Here is a 20,822-nt window from a genome sequence, read left to right as displayed (position 1 = left end):
TTTTAGTAGAGATGGGGTTTCAACATGTTGGCCAGGTTGGTCTCGAACTCCTGACCTCAGGTGATCCACCCGCCTCTGCCTCCCAAAGTGCTGGGATTACAGATGTGAGCCACTGCACCCAGCCTGTGTCTCTCTCGTTGGTCTCCCGCACAACCTCCAGGAAAATCTGTGCCTCCTTATTGCTGTTGGAGATTTGGGGATTCAGCAACTGCATGCTAAACACTTCAAGGAGGGCCCAGCTCCATTTCGGGTGGGAACACTGGGGCTGGAGGAAGGATGAGCTGGCTCAGGGTCACCCGGCTTGGAAGGTGGTGACCTTGGGTCTAGAATTCAAGTCTGCAAGGCTTGAGGCTTTTTAGGATTATAAGGCAGGGAAGAGAAGCTAAGAGAGTTGCTGAAGTGTATATTTTTTAAAAAGACACAAAGATATAGAGGTAGAGATAGAGAGGGAAAGATAGACACTGAGAGAGACAGACGGTCAGTCCTGGCCAGAAAGAGGACCCCTCTTTCAAGAGCCTGCCCTGAAGGACATGAGTGGAGGTTTATTCACCCAGGTCTTGGCTGTACTAAGATCAAAGCCTGAGGCTGGACCAGGAAAGCCTGTGGGGGCCCAAGAATCCAGGGCCACAGCTCTACTCCTGGGAGGGGCCATGAGTCTGAGCAGAGCCTTCAGTGGGTCACCAGCAGGTGGGTGGGCTCAGCATGTGGGTGGGCCGCCAGCAGGTGGGCCGGCCACCTGAATGTCCGGGGCTGTCCCTTCATATACAGAATCCATAGGCTAGATGGAAATGGAGCTAAGCTATTGAGGACTGCCCACATCCAGGGTACTTTGTAAACTAATCTTGCTTAATTTTCAAAAAGCCTGTTGAGGAAGGTCATTAAGAGATGAAGATACTGAGGTTCAGAGAGGTGAAATGTGTCTCAAATCACAAGCTGCTAAGATGCAGCACTGGAATTTGAATGCAGGTCTTGCATTCCCAGAGAGGTTTCTGATTATATCCGGTGGCTACATGGACTCGGCCCCTCCAGGTCTGAAGTCCGTCAACTGCTCAGGGAGATAAGGTTGGGTGGGGCTCCCTCTTGCTGCCCTCTGATCACCCCCATCCCCTCCTTTCCCACTCTCCACGAGGGGTCAGATCCCAAGACAGTGGCCGGACCTAGGTCCCCTCCACCTTTTTGAGAGGGGCTGACCCACCCCAGGGCCTGTGTAAAATGTCTCTCCTAAGAAGGTGGGCTCTTCAGAGTGGGGTGGGCACTGCTGGGGGCCCCCTTCCATGAAAGCCTGGCTGGCAGGTACCCCTGCCTCTAGCGCCGGCCCCTGTGCTCGCCCCAGGGACTCAGCCCAGTGTGACTATTTCAAAGCAGCAGCCAGTTCTGCCCACCCAGCAGAGGCCTGGGAAGACCCAGGAATACTTACAAATATGAAGAAATTGAATACAAACATCAGATACTTCATGCAGCTCAGACAGTCGCCTTCCATGGTGCTCCACCTAGAAATACAAGGCCACCTCAGTCTTCCCGATGGGGGACCCCACCCAGGAAGAACCCCAGCCCCTCCCCAGGGGTTCCCCGCAGCCAGCCCCACCCTTGCAAAGGCTGGAAGAAGATGGAGGCCGATGATAGAGATGAGCATGCTGGAGCCAGCCTGCCTGGGTTTCAGCCTTGGCTCTAGCTTTCATTCGCTATGTGACCTTGGGCAAATTACTCTACCTCTCTGAGTCTTGCTCTCTCTGACTTTAAAGCGGAGATTAGGAACAGAACCTTCCTCCTAGCAGTGTTGTGAAGATGAACTGAAATCCCACAGTAACATGCTTAGCACATCGTCGGGCACGTGGTAAGTGCTCAGCAGTCCCGCTTCACGTTGTTGCTCTACTGCAGGTGTGAGCTGGCCATTTCATAGATGAGAAAACCAAGGCCCAGAGCCTGGACCAGAAGCCAGGCCTGACAAACTTCCCACCAACCCACACACCCTCCAGCCACAGAACAGACCAGGGCGGTTGCTTGGTGCCAGCGAGATGGGGTGTTGCAGGGAAAAGGAGAGCAGCCTACCTGGGGATCTAAAACCTGCTTCTGGGGCCAAAGCCTCCCTGAGCCTTGGCTACCTCTACTCTGAGACCTCTAGCATCCCACCTCCCTGGGAGCCCTTCCTGTCTTCACCTAAAAGTATACCCATGGCAGCAAGTCATTGAACACAATTCCATTCAGCCAACATTGATTGAGCATCCGCTGCTTGCCAGGCACAGCCGGGGCTGCACTGAGATGCAAATGTCCCCCATCCCCCAGGGGAAACTGACAGCATCTGCTCTCATGAGTCAGACCTCAAGGTGCACAAGACATGTTTACATTCCATATTCGTTATTTTCACATTTTCTTCATAACGGCTCTGAGGAGAGACTCAGGGCAGGGATTAGAGATCCATGAGACAGGTGGGGAAACCGAGACTCAGAATGAAAACGACATGTCCGATGTCCCACAGCTAGTAAGGGGAAGGGCCAGAACTCAAGCCAGTCCTGAGCTGCCGGCACTGCAGGTGCTTCCAGCAGGGGGTTTGTACCTCCATGACAGGACTCAGTGCAAAGGGTTCTGGGAATATGTGTTGGGGTGTGGATGGATGTAGGGGAGATGGTGTCTGATTACTTTCTGCAGCTCCCGCTTCCTCCCACAGGACATGGCTGTACTCTATCTTCTTCTTCCACAAAATAAGGTTGCTAAGTCTGACTCAAAGGGTTTCTGGGAGGCTTATTATTAATATTAATAATAGTAAAATGTGTATCAAAGCATCACATTGGACTCCATAAACATATACAATTATTATTCATCAATTTAAAATGAAGTCAGGAAAACAGTAATAATCGTAGCCACTGTTTGGGGATCCAGCACTGTGCCCAGGGTTTTGCGCATATTATCTCGTTTAATCCTTGTAACCACCAAGGAGGTATGTACTCTGATGACCACACATCCTTCCATCAGCCCAGCCCTCAGAAGGGTTAAGGGATTTGTCCAAGGCCACACAGCTTGTAGGAAGCACTGACAAGGCCCATGGCACATAATAGGCCTCAGCAACTCTGTCCCCTCCTCGCCCTCGCCCAAAACCACAATCCAACACTCTCCTCAGCAGCCAGACCAGCACCCTCGTATCATAAGGAACAGATGGAGCAGAGCGGTGCCTGCCTCTCACCTGCTGGGCCACTCCACCCCTCTCCTAATCAGTGATGACAGCACCACTCCAGGCTGCATTTTGGTCTGAGCTAGAGGTGTTTTTGTTTGTTTGTTTGTTTGTTTTTAAGTGCATTTGAATCCATGGAGAGAGGAGCACAGACAGAGCCAGCTGGTGGGGAGTCGACACAGGAAAGGTTCCTGGTCTCAGGGGTGGTGCCTTGCGTCCCTCCTCTCGTTGTTTCTGCCAAGGTGCCAGATGTCTGTCCACCAGCTGAGCTTGGCCAGGCAGACATGGCTAAGGTGCCTGGAGCCCAAGAGGAAGGTCTGACAGGCACATCGGCTTTGGATTTGGCACTGGCCCTGGGGCCGGAGGGCTTTCCTCCCTAAAGGGACACCTCCTCCTTGCTGCTCTACTGGTCCCTATTGCAACTTGGAAAAATGCTGAGCAGGGGAGGCACAGGCGGGGCCACTCAGCATCAAAGTCAGGAGGGGAAGACACTCAGAGCCCACCTGGGACATCCTCCTTCTTCTCTTACTAGGAAGGGGAAACTGAGGCACCAAGTTACCTGGTGAGGAATGCAAGGGAAAAAATCATGGGGTGAACCTGACCCAGGGACTCCAGGCTCCAAGCCTTTGTCCTTCCAACAGTGCCCCAAGGGTTTCTCTTAAATTGTGTTGGGGTAATGGGAAATCAGGGTTTTCCTGAGATCATCCACCCAAGTCTCCACCCCTACAAATAATACTATTTATTGAGCATTTACTATGTGCCAGCTCCGTCCTGATACTTTACATTTACTAACTCATAACAACCCATGAGATTAATACTCTTATTATCCTTATTTTCCAGAGGTGGAAACTGAGTCAGACAGAGGCGAGGTGACTTGTCTGAGGTCACAGCTAGTGAGTGGTGAAGCCAAGATTGGAACCCAGGCAATCCAGCTTGGAAGGACAAAGGATGGTGTGTGTGTGATGGGGTGGGGGGCGGATTTGTCTTTACTTCAGTGAGCATGGCCTGAATTCAAGACATGCCATCTGCCTTTGGAGGTAAAATCGGATGACATCATCCTCTCTATCACAGGGGTCTCTGAAACATCTCCAGCCTCAGCCCTGCTCCTGGCCTTCTCTCTCATCCAGACATGGCTGCAGCCTCTGGGCTGGGACTGGCCTCCCTACCTCCCCTTCAATCCAGTGCTTCCCTGCTGCCAGAAGGAGCTTTCCAGAAAGCACATGTCACCACAGCCCTCTCTTGCTGGAACCCAACCTCTACAGGAGACCAAGCTGCCTCCTACAGACCACAGGACCTCCAAGACTCACCATCGCCACCTCTTGTTATTCCTGCCCTGACTTTCCTATCACCACCATCAAAGGAGAGTCCCCCAGAGGTATGTCCCTGACGCTTACTTGGTGCCTCTGCTCATGCTGATCCCTTCTGTTTGGATTGCCTTTCCAACTATGCCAGTCCCACTTAATTCCTATTCATCCTTTAAGACTCGTCACAGGCATCACCTCCGCCAGGAAGCCTTCCCTGATTCCCCCCTCCTGCCCCCATCAAGCCAAGCTCAGTGCCTTCCCCTAGTATAATATCCCACGGCTTCTGCTGACATCTACCACTGCCCCCACCAAAATATATACCATAACATCATCAGCCAGCGTTCCTGGTGAATCCCAGAGGAGCAGAGTCGTGGCTGTGCCCTCCTGGGACACAGTAGGGTTGCACTTGGTTTGGACTGAGTAAAACCCTCCACATAGGGAGTGTTAATTCAGCAGTGTGAAGGAAGCCTGGTGCTGGGCTAAGGCATGCTTCCAGTCATTCGTATCCTCCTCGCCTCCAACAGCTAGAAAGTGGAGCAACAAGGATTCAAACCCACAGTCGTGTTCTCCTGTGCTCCGTTTCCTCTCTCTGTTGTACCCTCTCCTGGGTGAGGACAGCCCAGGACAGGCCCCCCTAATGCCCCGCTTGCTCACCCTTCTCTCCTCAGGTCTTCCTGAGGCCTGAAAGCCTAGAGCTGCCTGCTTTGGTGCCTGCCTGGGATGGGAGGCACCAGGACAACCTATCCCTTCCTTTTCTCCAGGCCCTGCCCTCCCAGAGGGCAGTGGGCAGGGCTGAGATTCAGTGGGGACCCATAGGGATGGCTGTCCTGCTGTCTGGCCAGCATCTCTTCTGGTTGGTTCATGCCAGTGCATACTGGCTGTTAAGCATCTCAACCATCATCACTGACTGTGGGGCCTTTGGCTCTTCCTTCGTCACCAAGCCCAGGCTCTCTTCCTACAGAACGGTCCCCCAGGATACCATTTCCAGGCCAGCTTGCCAGCTACATCCCTCACATCATCCCTGACTTTCTAGAAGGAACATCTAACCTGCATCCAACCAGCATGGTCCTAAGCATGGGCTCTGAAGTCAGACACAACTGGGTTCGAATCCCAGCCCATCACCTTTTCTACCTCTGTGTCTTTGGGCAAGTGACTTAGCCTCTTGGAACTTCAGTTTCTTCACCTATAAAAACATCCAGTGTAAAGGGCTCCCCGCTGTACCTGCACAGAGCAGGATGGACAGCTCTTATCACGTCTACACCTAACTCTGCCTTCATAGGTTACTCATAGGCCTGCTGTTCCCTGTTAGACCATAAACCCAGGACAATGCCTTGCACCCCGGAGCTTTCTATTCTGACCCATCTCTCCTTTCAGCTCTTGGCTGACTTCAGCTCCGTGCATCTTCAGTCACCCTGTGCCCTTTGGAAAGGGAAAAGAGGATAGGAAAGAACATTTATTGAGCACTGACTCATGGCCAGTCACATGCCAACTCCGCAGAACTGACTGCCTTTAATCTCTCAACAAGCCCCTAAAGCAGGACGTACTATGCCCATTTTACAGAAGAGGACACTGAAGCTCAGAGGGGTCAAGTAACCTGGCCAGTATCACACAGCTTGTATGCACAGACTGGGCTTCAAAAACACCACTCACCCAACTCCACATCCTGTGCTCTACCTGATCCAGGAGCAGATGTTCAAGCAGAGAGTTGGGCACAAGGAGCACTGGCCTAGGAGTCTGGAGCCCAGGCTTCTGCTCTGTAAGTCACTGTTGTGTGACCTTGGGCAAATCACTTTCTGTCTCTGGCCTCAGTGCCTTCTTGTGTCAAATGGCAGAGCAGGAATCTGATGGCCTGACTGTTTCCTCTGCCAGGCCCTGACTTGGATGAATGGGCCTTTGGAGGCAGAGCAGCCACAACAGCGAGAGGCTGAGTAGTCCTGTGCAGGAGGCCAGGCTCTGCCATCCCTCCCTCTGCCCACCCAGGCAGAGCTTCTCTCCAGGGTAGGATCCAGCTTCAGCCGGCTCTGGCTCTTTAGCAATTAAGGGGTGTAATAAATATGGCAGCTCATAAACGGACTACCTGTATTTATTGTGTACCACATTCATTGCAGATTACATCTCATGGCCCGGGCTTGCGGAGTGCTGGGCTCCCAGACAAATGCAATCAAAGGAGACATGTCTCCTGGGAAGAGCCTCCCACAACCTCAAAGGTGAGTCAGGTAGGAAAATAGATGATGTGAGCCTGGGGGCCGGTGAAGAATATGGAGGCCCGGGTTCCAGTTTCAGAGCAGGGTGGATGAGTAAAAAGAGGGCTTTGGTGCCCAACAGGGGATTGTGTCCCAGCTCTGCCAAGCTTAGCTGGTGGGGCAAGTTACTAAACTGCATACAACTGAATTCCTTCTCTGTAAAGTCAGGATAAAAACAATGCCTTCCTCGGCCGGGCGCGGTGGCTCACGCTTGTAATCCCAGCACTTTGGGAGGCTGAGGCGGGCAGATCACCTGAGGTCAGGAGTTTGAGACCAACTTGGCCAACATGGCAAAACCCTGTCTCTACTAAAAATAACAAAAATTAGCTGGGGGTGGTGGCAGGAACCTGTAATCCCAGCAACTCGGGAGGCTGAGGCAGGAGAATTGCTTGAACCCAGGAGGAAGAGGTGGCAGTGAGCCGAGATCATGCCATTGCACTCAGCCTGGGCAACAAGAGTGAAATTCCATCTCAAAAAAAAAAAAAAAAAAAAAAAAAAAAAAAGCCTTCCTCAAGTTGTATGGAAAATACTGAGCACAGGGCTTGGCACATGGTAGCTAATAATAGTAACCACTGGCATACACTGAGTTCTTACTATGTGCCAGGGAACACACACAATTTCATTGAATCCTTGTAAAGCTCTGGGAAGTAGGTAATGTCATTCTATTTTTCAGAGGAGGGAACTGAGGCTCGGAGAGGTGGAATCACTTGTCTAAGGTCACACAGTACAGAAGTGCCTGAGCCAGAATTTGAACCCACGCCTGTCTTAATCTGGGGCCACAACTCCTAATCAGCATTCTCAATGAATGAGAATTCCCTTGCCCCATTCATCCATCCTCCTCCAAAGTGCAGACCTGTCTTCACACCACCTATGCCATTTGATCTCCCATTATTCTCCAGCAGGGACAGCCTCCCAGGCCATCACCCACCGCCAGGCTGAAGCCTAGAGACCAGGGCTTGCCTGCTCCATCCCCTATAGAGGCCTACTGAATGTGGGGACACACCTCCACAGCCAATTGGTCAGACTAGAGTGACAGACACATGGGACCTCCAATCCCTGCCTGGCTGTTAGCTCCACCCATCCATGGATGACTTCTAGAAGTTAACTTCACGGCACAGTTTCCTAACTTACTTCTAAAGGGAGGGAAACCATGGAGAATCTCTGGAGGGTGGGGCGAGAAGAAAATTGAGACTATGAGGTCCAAGAGCTTTGTTATTGCTCAAAAAAGCGGCACTTAGAAAGGAGATGGTGGGCCTGTCTGCTGTGGGACATGATGCCCTCCCTGGGGCCAGTGGTGGGAGGCCCATCAAAGTCTCCCAATTTCCCTGAGCTAAAGGGTCCCTGAAGGGAGAGTAGCAGTGTGGGTGGGGCCTGTAGGGTCAGGTGGGACCCGGCCTATCACTTTCTTGCCTCATGACTATGGGTGAACTACATAACCTTTCCAGGCCTTTGCTTTCATGCCTGCAAAATGGGGACAGGAATGCTGACTTCCTCTAGAAATTGTGCTGAGCATGAAATGGTATCATAGAGGTACAGTCCCTCATACAGCACTTGACACATGGTGGCTCCATCCTGGCTCTGGGCTCTGTTCCTCCCTCCTGCCCCGCCACAAGGTGGCTCCTCCCAGCTGCTCTCCTAGACACCAGGCACATCAGCTTCAGCCTCAGGAGAGGGGAGGACTCTGGGGTGGAGGATTTTGAAGCAGGGAGAGTGACTGTGTTCAATGGTGCTCAAACTGGGTTCCTGAGACTAGCAACATCCTAAAGTTATTTTCAATATTTCAAATAACATCTCAGACATCAACCTCTCACCATGGGCTGACTCAAGGGGCAAGTGTCTTGGGTTTTGGAGCAATTAGACTACCCCCAGGTGGGGACCTTGTTTATTGGGTTGTTCAGAATATCTGGCCACCATGTCTGTATGACTTTGCAGAACAAAAACGAACATGCTATTTGGTGCATAAAATTCTTTAAATCCTGGGGCTCAGAGGGATGAAATGCAGGAGTCAGCATCAGAGGCAAGCTTGACTTAGTGGGAATTCCACTCCCTGTTTGTACCCGGAAAGCACTGGAGAGCAGTTTAGGTGCTGTGGTCTCCCTGTCCTTCCATGTGACGTCTGCCTCAGGATCTGCTCTGTGGATCCTGTGGTCTGAAGGTTCATGTGCCTGTCACAGCAACCCTCATCTGGCCATGGGAAGGTCCTGTGCTTACAGATGGGTGTCTAATACAACATGACCCTCAGATGCAGCCAACTGTTTCGTGTAAAACAAAACCAGGTGTTTAAGGATGCTATGGTTTGAATGTGACACACATTCAAAAGTCATATTGAAACTTAATACCAGATGTAACATAATGAAGAGGTGGGGCCTTTAAGAGGTGATCGGATCTCAAGGGTTCTGCCCTCATGACTGGATCAATCCACTCATGGATTAATGGGTTATCACAGGAGTGGGTTGGTCATCCTGAGAGTGGGTCTGTTATAAAAGCCACTTTGGCATTCTCAGCCCCCTCGCCATGTGATGCCCTGCACCGCCTTAGAACTCTGCAAAGAGTCCCCCGGCAGCAAGATGGCCTTCATCAGGTGCAGCTGCTTGACCTTGGGCTTCCCAGCCTCCAGAACTGTAAGAAATAAATGCCTTTTCTTTATAAATTATCCAGTCTCAGGTGTTCAGTCATAGCAACAGAAAACACACTAAGACAAAGGATTTCAAGGGAACTTCAGGTAAACTTCTGACACTACTGTTTGTGTAAGTGCTGACTTAGATCCAGCTCTTGTGTAACTTACATCACCAGCATATCAATAAAAGAAGTTCTTAATCGTCAAAGGTTGGGAAGCACGATCTAGCCCAATACCCTCATTTTGGAAATGAGAAAACTGAGGCCGAGAGAGGGAAAAGGAGCTTGGCCAAGTTCCAAAACCAATTAATTAGTCATGGATATGAACTTGGAAGCCCAGCCCAGTGCCCTGTGGGTACAGCACATACGCTATGTGCTACTTATTTATTTTGGGAGCATGCATCTGCCTTTATTAGAATGCATGTTTCATAAAGGCATGGACTTGTTTTGTTCACTGGCTTATTTCTAGTGTCTGGAGCAGTGCCTGGCACATAGTGGGTCCTCAATTATATATCTGGATGAATAGATGAATGAATGTATAGTGGGAAAAGAGCAAAAAGAGACAGTGGAGTCAGCAAATCAGAGAAATACACAAAGCCAAGTCAGAAAGAGAGGGAAAGACCGAAGGAGACACAGAGGCAAACAGGCAGATTGGAAAGGATCAGAGTGGAGATGGGACCGTGTCAGGTGATGGGGCAGAGGTACACTGAGAAGGGAGAGGCTATTGCCAATGTGTCACCTGGGCAGTTCTTCGGGCATCAGCAGGACAGACTCTCCCGTCAGCGAGGCTTGTGTATATTTCTTTTATCGGCCCAGCTTGTCCAATAAGAGAAAATATTCAATTACTACAGGAAGTCAATAAAGAGCAGCCCCATGAAAGGAGCTGTTTATGAAAACCCGCCCTCCAGATACACACACTCGGGGCAACTGTCCTGCTAATCTGGGCCCATTAGAGCTCATGAAAAGCTCTCAGCACCTGAGGCCACTCCAGCGGGGGAGTGGCCTTCTGCCCAGATGGCAGCTCCTGGGTGCCTTTGCAGGTGCTGCCTTGGAAGGCACATCTTTAATAGACTTGCAGATTCTAGCATGGGCTTCATGTATGCTGACACGGCTGCACATGAGGCTGATGGCCTGGGAGGAGATGATGGGTGTGAGTAACCTGCATCCATGGATGCCACCCAGGCATCCACAATACTTCAGCAGAGAGAGTGCCAGCAGGGCCCTGTTCATCAACTTCCTCCCCCAAAACCCAGACTCCCAGGAGAGAGAGATTTGATGCTGGAAAGTGTTTCTTGGCTTTGCATAAGGATTTGTGAGAAGGTTCCTTCAGAGGGCCAGCTCCCAGCAGTGGAAATGAGGGTTCGATTTCAGAAGTCAAAACAGGCCCATATGGAGACTCCTGTTCTATCACTCCTGCGGGGAATTCCACAGCCAGCTCCTGCTCAAACTTTGGGTTAGAGGACAGTCCCAGGAAGACCTGGGACCTGGGGAAGCCTGGGCTGTGGGGGTGTTCCTAGGGAAGGAAGGGAGAGATATCCATGTCTATCCAAAATCCCTCCAAGTACGAGCCTGCCTGGGGTCAGTGAAGGGGTGGTGGGTGAAAGATTCCTCCCCATTTACCCATCCCTCCCTTCCTCCCTCAACCCACCCACTCACCCACCTACCATCCACTCAGTAGACGTACACTGAGTTGCTACTATGTGCCAGGGGCTGTGCCAGAGAGTGTGAGGTGCAAATAAGCATGGGCACACAAGTGAGTGGTGGTAGTGGTGGTGGTGGTGGTGGCAGCGTGGAGGAGACAAGGAGGCAGATAACAGCAGGGCTGGGGAACCCACAGTGGGGAGGACTAACTCCACCGGCATAACTCTGGGCAGAGGGGAGAGGAACTGTGGGGAAGGGGATGGTGAAGGCTAGTCTTGGGGGAGTGCAGAGGTAGAGATGGGAAGATGGAAAGGCAGGAGAAGAGGCCTCCCTCCTGAGACATGGCCACAGCCCCGGGAGCTGGCACCCCTATTTGGCCTAAACATACCTATGTGACAGGCCCTTCAACTGCCTGCCCCATCTGTGTGCACCAGCTTCAGGTACTCCGTGCACTTGGGGTACAGTGCTGGCATGCGTGAGCCCATGAAATGCTCAGAACAACCCTATGAAGTAGGTATCACACCATCATCCCCACAGTACAATGGGGAAACTGAGTCCAATGGGAAAAGAGAGAGAATTGACTTGTCCAACATCACACTGTTGGTAAGTGATGGGGCTGGAATCCAAACTCAGGGGTCAGAGTCAAAAGTGGCGTTTACAGAAAGTGCTTTCTCTTCCTGTGTGATCACAATGAATCCTCACAATAGCCCACGAGGCAGGCTACCACAGGTTCACTGGGGTCAGTGAAGGGGTGGTGGGTGAAAGATTCCTCCCCATTTACCCATCCCTCCCTTCCTCCCTCAATCCACCCAGTCAGCCATCTACCATCCACTGAGTAGATGTACATTGAGTTGCTACTATGTGCCGGGGAAGTGCCAGGGAGTGCAAGGTGCAAATAACCATGGGCACACAGGTGAGTGGTTTTTACAGAATGAAATTGAGGCTTGGAGATGCCAGTGACAAGGCCAAGCATCCTCGGGAGATTTCAAGCTGTTTCCAGCTTTGTAGTTCAGGGCCTGCACCCCATGCCCAGCCCCAGGGCTCAGGGAAACAAGGACGGGGTGATGGGTTTCCTGCCGCTTCTCTTCTCCTGCTGCATCCCAGTCCTGGTCCCCTGTATCACCATTCCCTGCCTCATCTCCGTCTGGACACTGAGGCTGATATGAGAAACATGGATGACATAGGCCAACCCAGAGACAAGGAGGAGATGCTGAACTCTGGGGAATGTCTGGCGGTTGCCTGCCTCCTCCCCACCAGGGAGCTCCAGCCCCTTTGAATGCTGTACCCTGGCTGGGAATGGGCTCACCCCTTGTGGTGTCCCAACTTCCCTGAACTAACTTCATTTCCCTTTTTTTCTTTGTCCTCTGTGAGCCCCCATCCTATTGACTGGCTCATTTGTCCTGGAAGAGGACAGCCCAGTGACACCTGCCATGCTCACCCCATCACTGATGCTTCTGCAGAGGCTGGGTTGGTTTCTGCCTTGGCCAGCTCCCTGGAGACCTTGGGAAAGTCACCCCCCTCTCCAAGGTGCTAGGTTCTCCTTGGAAAACTGTGATGATGAATTTGGAAGCCAAAGGTGGTTGTAAGAATTCACAGTACCATGGGAGCTATTATTATCAGCAGCATCAGATATTGGAAATAAGTGGATGCCCAGCCCACATTCACCAGTTATGAATGGAGCAGGGTATAGGGGAGAACCATGGACACATGGCTTGGGTAGCGTGGATACAAACATCTTTCCCCTAAACAGACCCAAATTCTAACAAATTGCCACAATTTTGTGGTAACTGAGCCTAATAACTACTAGGATTGAGGTTTTACCATGTACCAGACTCCACTATACCTTTCTCCTACCTGTCCTCTTATTTAATCCTTACCTAGGAGGTGGGTATTATTATTATCCCATTTTACAGATGAGGAAACTGAAGCGTGGGCAGGGTAACTAACTCGTCTGAGTTCATTTACCTGGTTAGCAAAACATGGCTATGATTTAGCCCCAAGTCAGCTGGACCCCAAACCAGAGCTCCTGATACGACACCTATCCGTGGGGTGTGGCACCAGAGACAGGAAGCGCCGTGCCCCAGTCTGCAAAGTCTCCAGCCCAGTGCTGCTCTTCCCTGAACCAGGCAGCGAGGCACAGAGGCCCAGGAAGTTGGCTAAACTTCTTCCCTGAGCCAGCTGGAGGCCCTTGGGGATGGCCCAGGCCGGCCATCCCTTGACAGATGGGAGCCCTGAGGCCCAGAAAGGCACAGAGATGGGACCGAGGTCACGCAGTGCCTCGGGGCTTTCCTCGGCGGACCCCTGCCCGGGCCAGACAGCTTTATTAATCTCGCCCCTCCTGTCGCCCAGATGGCGGCTCAGCCCCATCTGCACGGAGCAGGGGCCCAGGAGGGGCTCTCTGATTAAGAAGAACAGCTCAGTTCATAAATCACTCCTTTTACTTTCACTCCCCCCCGCCCCCAGGCATGCTTTCTAGAGAGAAGGAAAGGAGGCGGCCGGACAAGAGAGATGGAGAAGCCCCCAGTGGAGGAAGGTTTGGGCTGGTGCAGAGCCGAGAAAGGGCTTGCACGTGCCCTGGCCAGGAGAGGGCGCTGTGGCCAAGGGCAGAGCCTCAGAGGACCGTGTGTTCCCCTGCAACTGCGTTCCCACCAGTGGGGGATCTGCCTGTGCCAGCCATAAGCCTGAGCCAGACGCCTCACCTCCAGAGCCTCACCTCCGCATCTGGGAGGTGGGGATGTTCAGAACTAACTTCTAGGATCCTTTCCAGGAGGATGCAAGGGGATGATGAGGGTGAAAGGACTTGACAGGCTGCACACCCCGTTCCCTCCTTCCTGCGCTCCCGGCACCAACAGCGCCAGCCCTGGGCTTGGTCCAAGGCATAGGGACCAAGGGCTGCCCTTCCTCAAGGACTCACTCAAGTCTAGTGAGACTCAATCACCGCAGTCCCTACTTGGAGAGAAGTGTTAATGGCCACATTAACCCAGTGTCCTGGGCTTGCCAGGCAAGATACAGAAACGAAACCCTGACTGCCAGGGTGAGGCTGGGGTCGGGAGAGCCTAGAATCAGGGAGGCCATGTGGGGAGGACTGGGACAGGGTCAGCATTTACTAAGGCCTGATATTAACGCAAGGCAATGTATTATGGGCGTTCACTTAAAATGATCTCACTTGATCCTCCAAAAAGCTCTACAAAGTAGACGATATTATCATCATTCCCTTTTAGGGATGAGGAAACTAAAGCTTCATGGGGCTAGAAAGGTCCCAGAGCTGGGAAGAGATGGAGCTGGGATTTGTAGCCAGGTTTTGCTGGACTGCAAACCCACATCTTTTCCTTGGTCAGGACGCCGGCCCGAGGCCTAGAAGACTAACAATGATTCTTGCCATCAGGTTCAAGGCTGATGGGGAGGACTTATTTGCTCACTGGCTGTGCCTGCTGGGCCTCATCCCAAGACAGACGGTCTCATAAACAAGCAATTGGCCTGAGATCCTGGCGTGCCTGGTGCTGGCACCAACATGGGGACATGGTCACAGCTGAGCGGGGGATAAAATCTAATTAGGCTCCTGAGGGGCGGGTGCCTTAAGGATTAACCAGGAGCACAGCCTGCTGTGGATGCAATTGGATCCTAAATGACAGCCTCCCCTGCCCCCGCCGGCTCATGGAGCTGTGAATGTCAAGGTGGCACAGAGCATCTGCAGGCTCTGGGAAGGACCCCTCTCTAGTCTGTGAGTTGAGCCAGGATGGGCACCCTGTCCCTGCCACCAGCCCTTTCCTCTGTCCCATGTAGAACACCCACAGGGCCATCAGAGAATCGTCAAAGAAGGAAGCATCTTAGTGAAGGTTGTCTCCAACTCCTCATTTCACACTGCGGGAGCTGAGGCCCAGAGAGGGACGGGCTCTTGCCCAGAGTCACACAGCACAGCTAGAACGAGGACCTCCTGACATGAAGCCCGCTGCTCTTCCCACCAATTGAGGCAGCCTCCCAGGACTTATTACACCTGCACGTAGGTAACTCCTGAAAGTGCTTTATACACTTTATGTCATCAGACCCTCTCAACTACCCTGCGAGGTGAGCAGTCATGTTTTACAGATGAGGAAACTGCGGCTCACTAGCCTGAAGTCACACAGTAGGTTGGAGGACCTGCTGGGACAAAATAAGGTTCCTGGCTCTTCTGCCCTGGCTGTCTTCCAGAGGACTCTGAGCCCCCAATCCCCAGGGTCACCCTCAAACAATCCATGCCTCCCATCCCCCATAGACCGGGGCTGGACTTAAGCCACAGAAGGTGCCAGTCCCAGACACAGGTCGGAGGTCCCTCTGCCTGTCTTAGGCACTAGACATTGTACTGAGACCACCTGTTTGCAAAGGCCTCTGCGGACAAAGCTCTTTGCCCTCTTTCAGGGACTGTTACTTTGCCACTTTGTCAGAAGGCAAGGCAACCTGGGAAACCCACGCAGTTTGAAATTGGGGGGAGCACAGAAGCACGGAGGTCACTCCATTAGGAAGAGTGTTTGGCCTGAGGACACTAGCGTCCACCTCCAACAGCCAAGTGTAGTTGAAGCAGGCCAAGCAACCAAGTCCAGGGGCCTGGGAGGAATGGCGCGGGTCAGAGTGAAGCCACCCTCTCTGCTCAGGATGCCTACCTACACCCTGTCATGTGAGCCCAGCAGAGCCCTGCAGGAAAGGTGCCTGGCAGCCAAACTGGTGATCTGGGGAAAGGCAGGTACCAGGAGGAGAGAAGCAGACATCCAGGTGTGGCAGGGAAACCCCAGTTCTGGGAGATGGTATAAGCACCAGGGGATAGGAAGGAAGGTTGACTCAGCCTGCTGTGGGGAGAGCAGACAGCCCCGCAGCCTCCCACAGCCTTGGGGAAGGGGCTGTAGGCACAAGGGGGCAGGTGGCCTGGCTGCTTCCCTGGGGTTCAGAGAGCATCCACTCAGTGGCCTCCCTGAGTAGTCAAAGAACAAGCTTCCTCCAACCAACCACTATTCTTGTGGTAATTCACACCATAACACTCTTGATTCATTCACTCCTGCCTACGTTCGTGCTTTTGTTCATTTCCCATTTAGTGAGCATCCTTGGCCTTTGCAGGAGCCTCACTGGCCAGAAAGAATGGAAGGAGTGACCCCTAGACCTGAGGTCTGGGGGATCAGCCAGCAGCAGCCTCTGAAGTTCCTCTGGTGATGGATAGCCCTGCTCTGGCTGCTCCAAAGCGTCCCTGTGTCCTAGTCCCTCAGGAACCCCCTATACACACACATGGGCTGACGGCCACAGCAGTCCCACCAATCCTCACCGTGTCCGCTGCCCAGCCTTGCACAAGCCAGAGCTTCTGGCAACACCTGCTCTGGCTCACCTGGACTGAGTCTTGTTTCTTATCCTCCAGGTTGCCTCCCTGAAGGTTTTTGGAAATTTCATGCTAACCAGAGCCTGGGTTTCCACAGCTCTTTCTGTACACCTGGCCTTGAACTAAAGGCATACAGGTCCTTACAAGAATCTAGAGGGTGTGTCCACTCTCCGCTGACCTGTAATTGAACTGGGCTTAGAGATGGTGTGCAACCTACCTCACATCATTCAGTCAGGCTGCAAAAGCCATCTGGCCTGACTCCAAAGCCCAGCACCTAGCCCCTTAGCAAGGATCTCTCCCATCCACCCCCACCCTTCGGCAGTCTCGTGAGGCCTCTGGACCCCACCTAAATATAATACATAAGATTAAAAAGGAAACCATTTATATTGAAATAGAGCTATCAGAAACTTTATCTTGGGGGACAGGGTCTCGCCCTGTTGCCCAGGTTGGAATGCAGTGGCATGATCATGGCTCACTGCAGCCTCCAACTTCTGGACTCAAGGAATCCTCCCACCCCAGCCTCTCAAGTAGCTGGAACTCCAGATGCATGCCACTATGCGCAGCTAATTTTTTCCCTTTTTGTAGAGACAGGGTCTCCCTATGACACCCAGACTGGTCTCGAACTCTGGGGCTCAAGCAATCTCCTGCCTTGGTCTCCCAAAGTGCTGGGATTACAGACGTGAGCCACTGTGCACAACCAAAATACTTTTTTAAAAGCAAATTTGGAGTAGAATAATACAAGTGCTTTTTTTAAATAAACATGCAAAACTCAAGATCTAGTGATGGATCTAATAACTATCATCATTTTAAGAAATTCCCAGCAAATTTTTTTTTTTTTTTTTTTTTGAGTTGGAGTCTTGCTCTGTTGCCAAGGCTGGAGTGCAGTGGCGTGATCTCGGCTCACTCCTGGGTTCCGCCCAGGCTGGCAAGCTCCGCCTCCTGGGTTCACGCCATTCTCCTGCCTCAGCCTCCCGAGTAGCTGGGACTACAGGCGCCCGCCACCACGCCCAGCTAATTTTTTGTATTTTTAGCAGAGACAGGGTTTCACTGTGTTAGCCAGGATGGTCTCGATCTCCTGACCTCGTGATCCGCCTGCCTTGGCCTACCAAAGTGCTGGGATTACAGGCGTGAGCCATTGCTCCCGGCCAAGAAATTCCCAGCAATTTTTAGGTAATTTGAAAATATGTACTTAGATCTGTTGATGACAAAGTCACAAGTACTGCTAACAGTACTGTGGTTTGTTGCTTGTGTTCATAATGGAAGAAAATACCCATTTTCAGTGAAACGTTAAAGTGAAGTTATAATATGTTTCTCAAAGTTCACCAATCCCTTGAGTTCTATGGAATACATGGACCCCAGAATGAGAACTTCGTTTGGCCTTGAAGGTAATGGCTCACCTCATCTGTCTTAGCAGTCCAATCTGCCACTCAACAATTCCCGTCCTTCCCCCAGATCATCCTTCTCCTTAGCCCCAGCTCTCAGCAGAGGGACAAAAAGTTTGCAGCAGGAGCAAATGGGACCATGTGCACAGGAAAGAGGCTGGGGATCAAAACCCTAAACTCCATGGAACGAGCCTGTGGGGCAGGACCGTGGCCATCTTCCTGCCTAGGGCAGCCCCAGCCATTCTGGGTCACAGGGAGAACAGGGAGCCAGTCAGCATCGGAAAAGCCCCTGGGAGCTTGCTAACCCTCAGACCTCTGGGACCTAGCCCTAAGATTTGGATTCTGCAGGCTCAATGAAGGGCCCAAGAGTCTCTGTTTTTCTCATATCCCTGGGAGGTCTACAAAGTTAGCTTCAGAGACCACAAGATGAGAAGGCCCCTGAGGTTTATCTGGGGTCCAGGGCTCCAAGCAAGCTGAAAATTATGGCCCCCAAATCTGGGGGACATCCAAGTCATCAGCTAATGGCCCAACTGCCAGTCAAACCCACATGGAACCCTTCCAGGTCATTTCCAGCAGCCAGAGCCCAGGTTCTCTGACATCACCCCATGTGGGCTTTGGCTCTTGGCCTCTGCCCCCTCCTCTTCTAGGCAGCCCAAACTGGATGGTTGATGCCACCGGCCTCCTGCTGGGGCCAGCCAGCCTGTGTCTGGAATGGAGACTTTATTCTCTGGAAACCCTCCTGCCTCCAGAGAGAGCCTGGGGCTGGGGTGTGAGGTGGCCATGGCCTTTTCTGCTTACCCAGAGGTTTGTGGTGGGGAATGGAATGTAGGGAAAGAGATGCTGTGAGCCCTGCTGGAGCCTATGGCTGGGGTGTGTCAGGGACTCTGAGATGTCCACCTCAGCCCTGAAATCATCTTCAAGGAGAGGGGTTTACATGGGGACCAGGAGGACCTTGCAGGACTGGCCTTATCCTCTTGGGCCCACTTCCTAAGGGGGTGCCCCCAGGACCAAGGGTGGGAGAAACAGGCCATCTGTATTAATCCGTTCTCACACTGCTATAAAGAAATACATGAAACTGGGTAACTAAAAGACTCACAGTTAGGCATGGCTAGGGAGGCCTCAGGCAACTTACAATCATGGCGGAAGGCACCTCTTCACTGGGTGGCAGGAGAGAGAGGCGAGTGTGAGCACAGGAAAAACTACCATTTATAAAACCATTAGATCCCGTGAGAATTCACTCACTATCATGAGAACAACATGGCGGAAACTGCTCCCATAATCCAATTACTTTCCTCCCTCGACACATGGGGATTACAATTCAAGATGAGATTTGGGTGGGGACACAGCCAAACTATATCACCATCCTCGTGGTTTTCTGGTGCATCCATCCCACCTGGGTCTCAGAGCTGCCTTGGAATTCAAATCCTGGACAGGGAGCTGAGCCAGAAAGTAACTTAGAGGTTACCCCAATTCTACAGCTCAGGAGACTGTCCAGAGGGGAGGGGACTGGCCAAGAGGCTCATAGCAAAATCAGAGCTGAATGGTGTAGCCAAGGCTTCCAACCTAGGTACTCCTGGCCACACACCAGGCAACCTCCAAATGCAGCCCAAGCCAAGCCCAGCCCCAGGGAAAGGTGACTCTGGACTCGCTGCTGTTGAACCTTCTCTACCAGATTATAAACCCTTTGGTGATCGGGACTGTTTCTCCCACTTCCTCTGAGTCCCTTCAGAGAATACAGGGGGTACTAGATGGTGCCCCCCAATAAGGATTCAGTCATTATAATAATGTTGTCAGTGTCATAACTGCTCCTGCTTCACGTGTGCCAGGAACCATACTAAGCACTTTCCAACATCACCTGAAAAGTGGGTGAATTATTCCTGAGTTACCCAGGGGTAAACTGAGGCTCAGAGAAGGTGAGTAAGCTTCCCACGTGGCCCAGTCGGTGAGAGAAGAACAGGGTCTCAGATGCCAGAAGGCACATGGCTGCTAAAGTCCCGGGCACCTGCCGGCTGATGGGCACTCACAAGGCAGAAGCAAGTGGTGAAGAGGAGGAGTTGGCAGCCCCGAGTCCTGGGTTAGAGTCAAGACCCTGAAAACTCGGGCAAAGCCTGCCCTCTCTCTGACTCAGTTTCTGCCGCTTCTCACAGCCAAGCCTCAGAGTGGGGCAGGAGCTGCCTCACCTCCTCCCTTCCCACATTGCATCCCCACCAGGGCCTGGAGCTCTGAAAAAGACCCTTTGAAAGACAATAATCCATCCCAAAATATGCAGGGCTGTTGCTGGGACAACCTGGCCCACCACACTGCCCAGATTTAAATATTTAATGGCTTCACGGGTATTAAGGGGGCCTGGGAACTAGGAGGGAAAGGGCACAGTTCTGAGCCAGGGGAGCGCTGGGTACTCCTGCCAGCACAGCCTCATTCCCAGCCCTACCCCAGCAGAAAAGGGTGCAGGGAGCTTCCGGCTTTCCTTGGTGCATTTAGTGTCAGACAGGATAAAGCAGGTGGTATTTGGAACCCAGGGAGAGGGTGAGACACAGAATTCCACACTGGGGCTATGCAAGGGTCAGGAGAGGGGAAAGGCGGGCCCCAGGGAGAGTTTCCCTTTTGCAGGTGAACACAGGAAACTTACTTTTACCTCCTAAATGCCTACTGTGCAGTGGACACTGTGCTAAGTTCTTACATTATCTCCTTTGAACCCCACTATAGTCTATGAGTCAGGCATATTATTATTCCCAGTTGACAGCTGAGAACACTGGGGTCAGAGAGATGAAGTGACTCCCCCAAGGCTATACCACTGCTGAGGAGCTCCAAAGCCAGTGCTCTTTGAGTACAGTCAGCATGTATGAAGCACTTTCTACAGGCCAGGCACTGGGTTAAGGACGTTGCATGTTCTAATTCACTTGGCCCTTGCAATGTCCCTATCAAGTAGGCATTGCCACCCCCATCTTACAGATGTGGAAATTGAGGCCCTGAGAGGGGAAGTAGGAGCCAAGATCAGAGGTTGGGGCATGGGGCAGGGGCCCTGGATTCAGGCCTCAGCAGTCGATTCCAGAGCTGAGGCTCTTCATCTAGCTCTTATTAGCCGAAATTTAGAAAGTCAGATAATAAAAAATAAAAATCAAATCTAAAATC

At 52.1% G+C, this 20,822-nt stretch overlaps 1 protein-coding gene and 1 long non-coding RNA gene across 9 annotated transcripts in view, besides 1 other annotated feature; one reads left to right on the top strand and one right to left on the bottom strand.

Annotated features, from left to right (window-relative positions):
• The window catches only part of TSPAN18 (tetraspanin 18), a 206,114-nt gene that overhangs the window by 24,527 nt on the left and 160,765 nt on the right, over nt 1–20,822 (bottom strand). For 6 of the 8 annotated variants that reach the window (XM_047427847.1, XM_047427846.1, XM_047427849.1 and 3 more), the window contains 2 exons: nt 10,069–10,145; nt 1,418–1,490 (listed from right to left, as the gene is read on the bottom strand). In XM_047427847.1, the coding sequence (XP_047283803.1) occupies nt 1,418–1,490; nt 10,069–10,088 (93 nt within the window). In that variant the 5' untranslated portion in view covers nt 10,089–10,145. The remainder of the gene's footprint in view (nt 1–1,417; nt 1,491–10,068; nt 10,146–20,822) is intronic. The other 2 variants (XM_011520459.4, NM_130783.5) reach the window with 1 other exon arrangement.
• LOC124902664 (uncharacterized) lies at nt 4,058–6,759 on the top strand. Its single transcript, XR_007062659.1, has 3 exons — nt 4,058–4,117; nt 4,238–4,541; nt 6,579–6,759. It is a non-coding gene; the product is annotated as an uncharacterized LOC124902664 (long non-coding RNA).
• Nucleotides 14,152–14,723: an enhancer, noted in NCBI's record as "H3K4me1 hESC enhancer chr11:44914725-44915296 (GRCh37/hg19 assembly coordinates)". NCBI's record gives its function as "activates a minimal SCP1, AML or CMV promoter by ChIP-STARR-seq in primed H9 embryonic stem cells {active_cell/tissue: H9 hESC(primed)}" and the evidence as "EXISTENCE:reporter gene assay evidence [ECO:0000049][PMID:30033119]".

Source organism: Homo sapiens, chromosome 11, assembly GCF_000001405.40.
Source record: "Homo sapiens chromosome 11, GRCh38.p14 Primary Assembly".
Taxonomy (NCBI): Eukaryota; Metazoa; Chordata; class Mammalia; order Primates; family Hominidae; genus Homo; species Homo sapiens.
The sequence above is the reverse complement of the archived record's forward strand: the minus strand, read 5'-3'. Positions and strand labels throughout refer to the sequence as shown.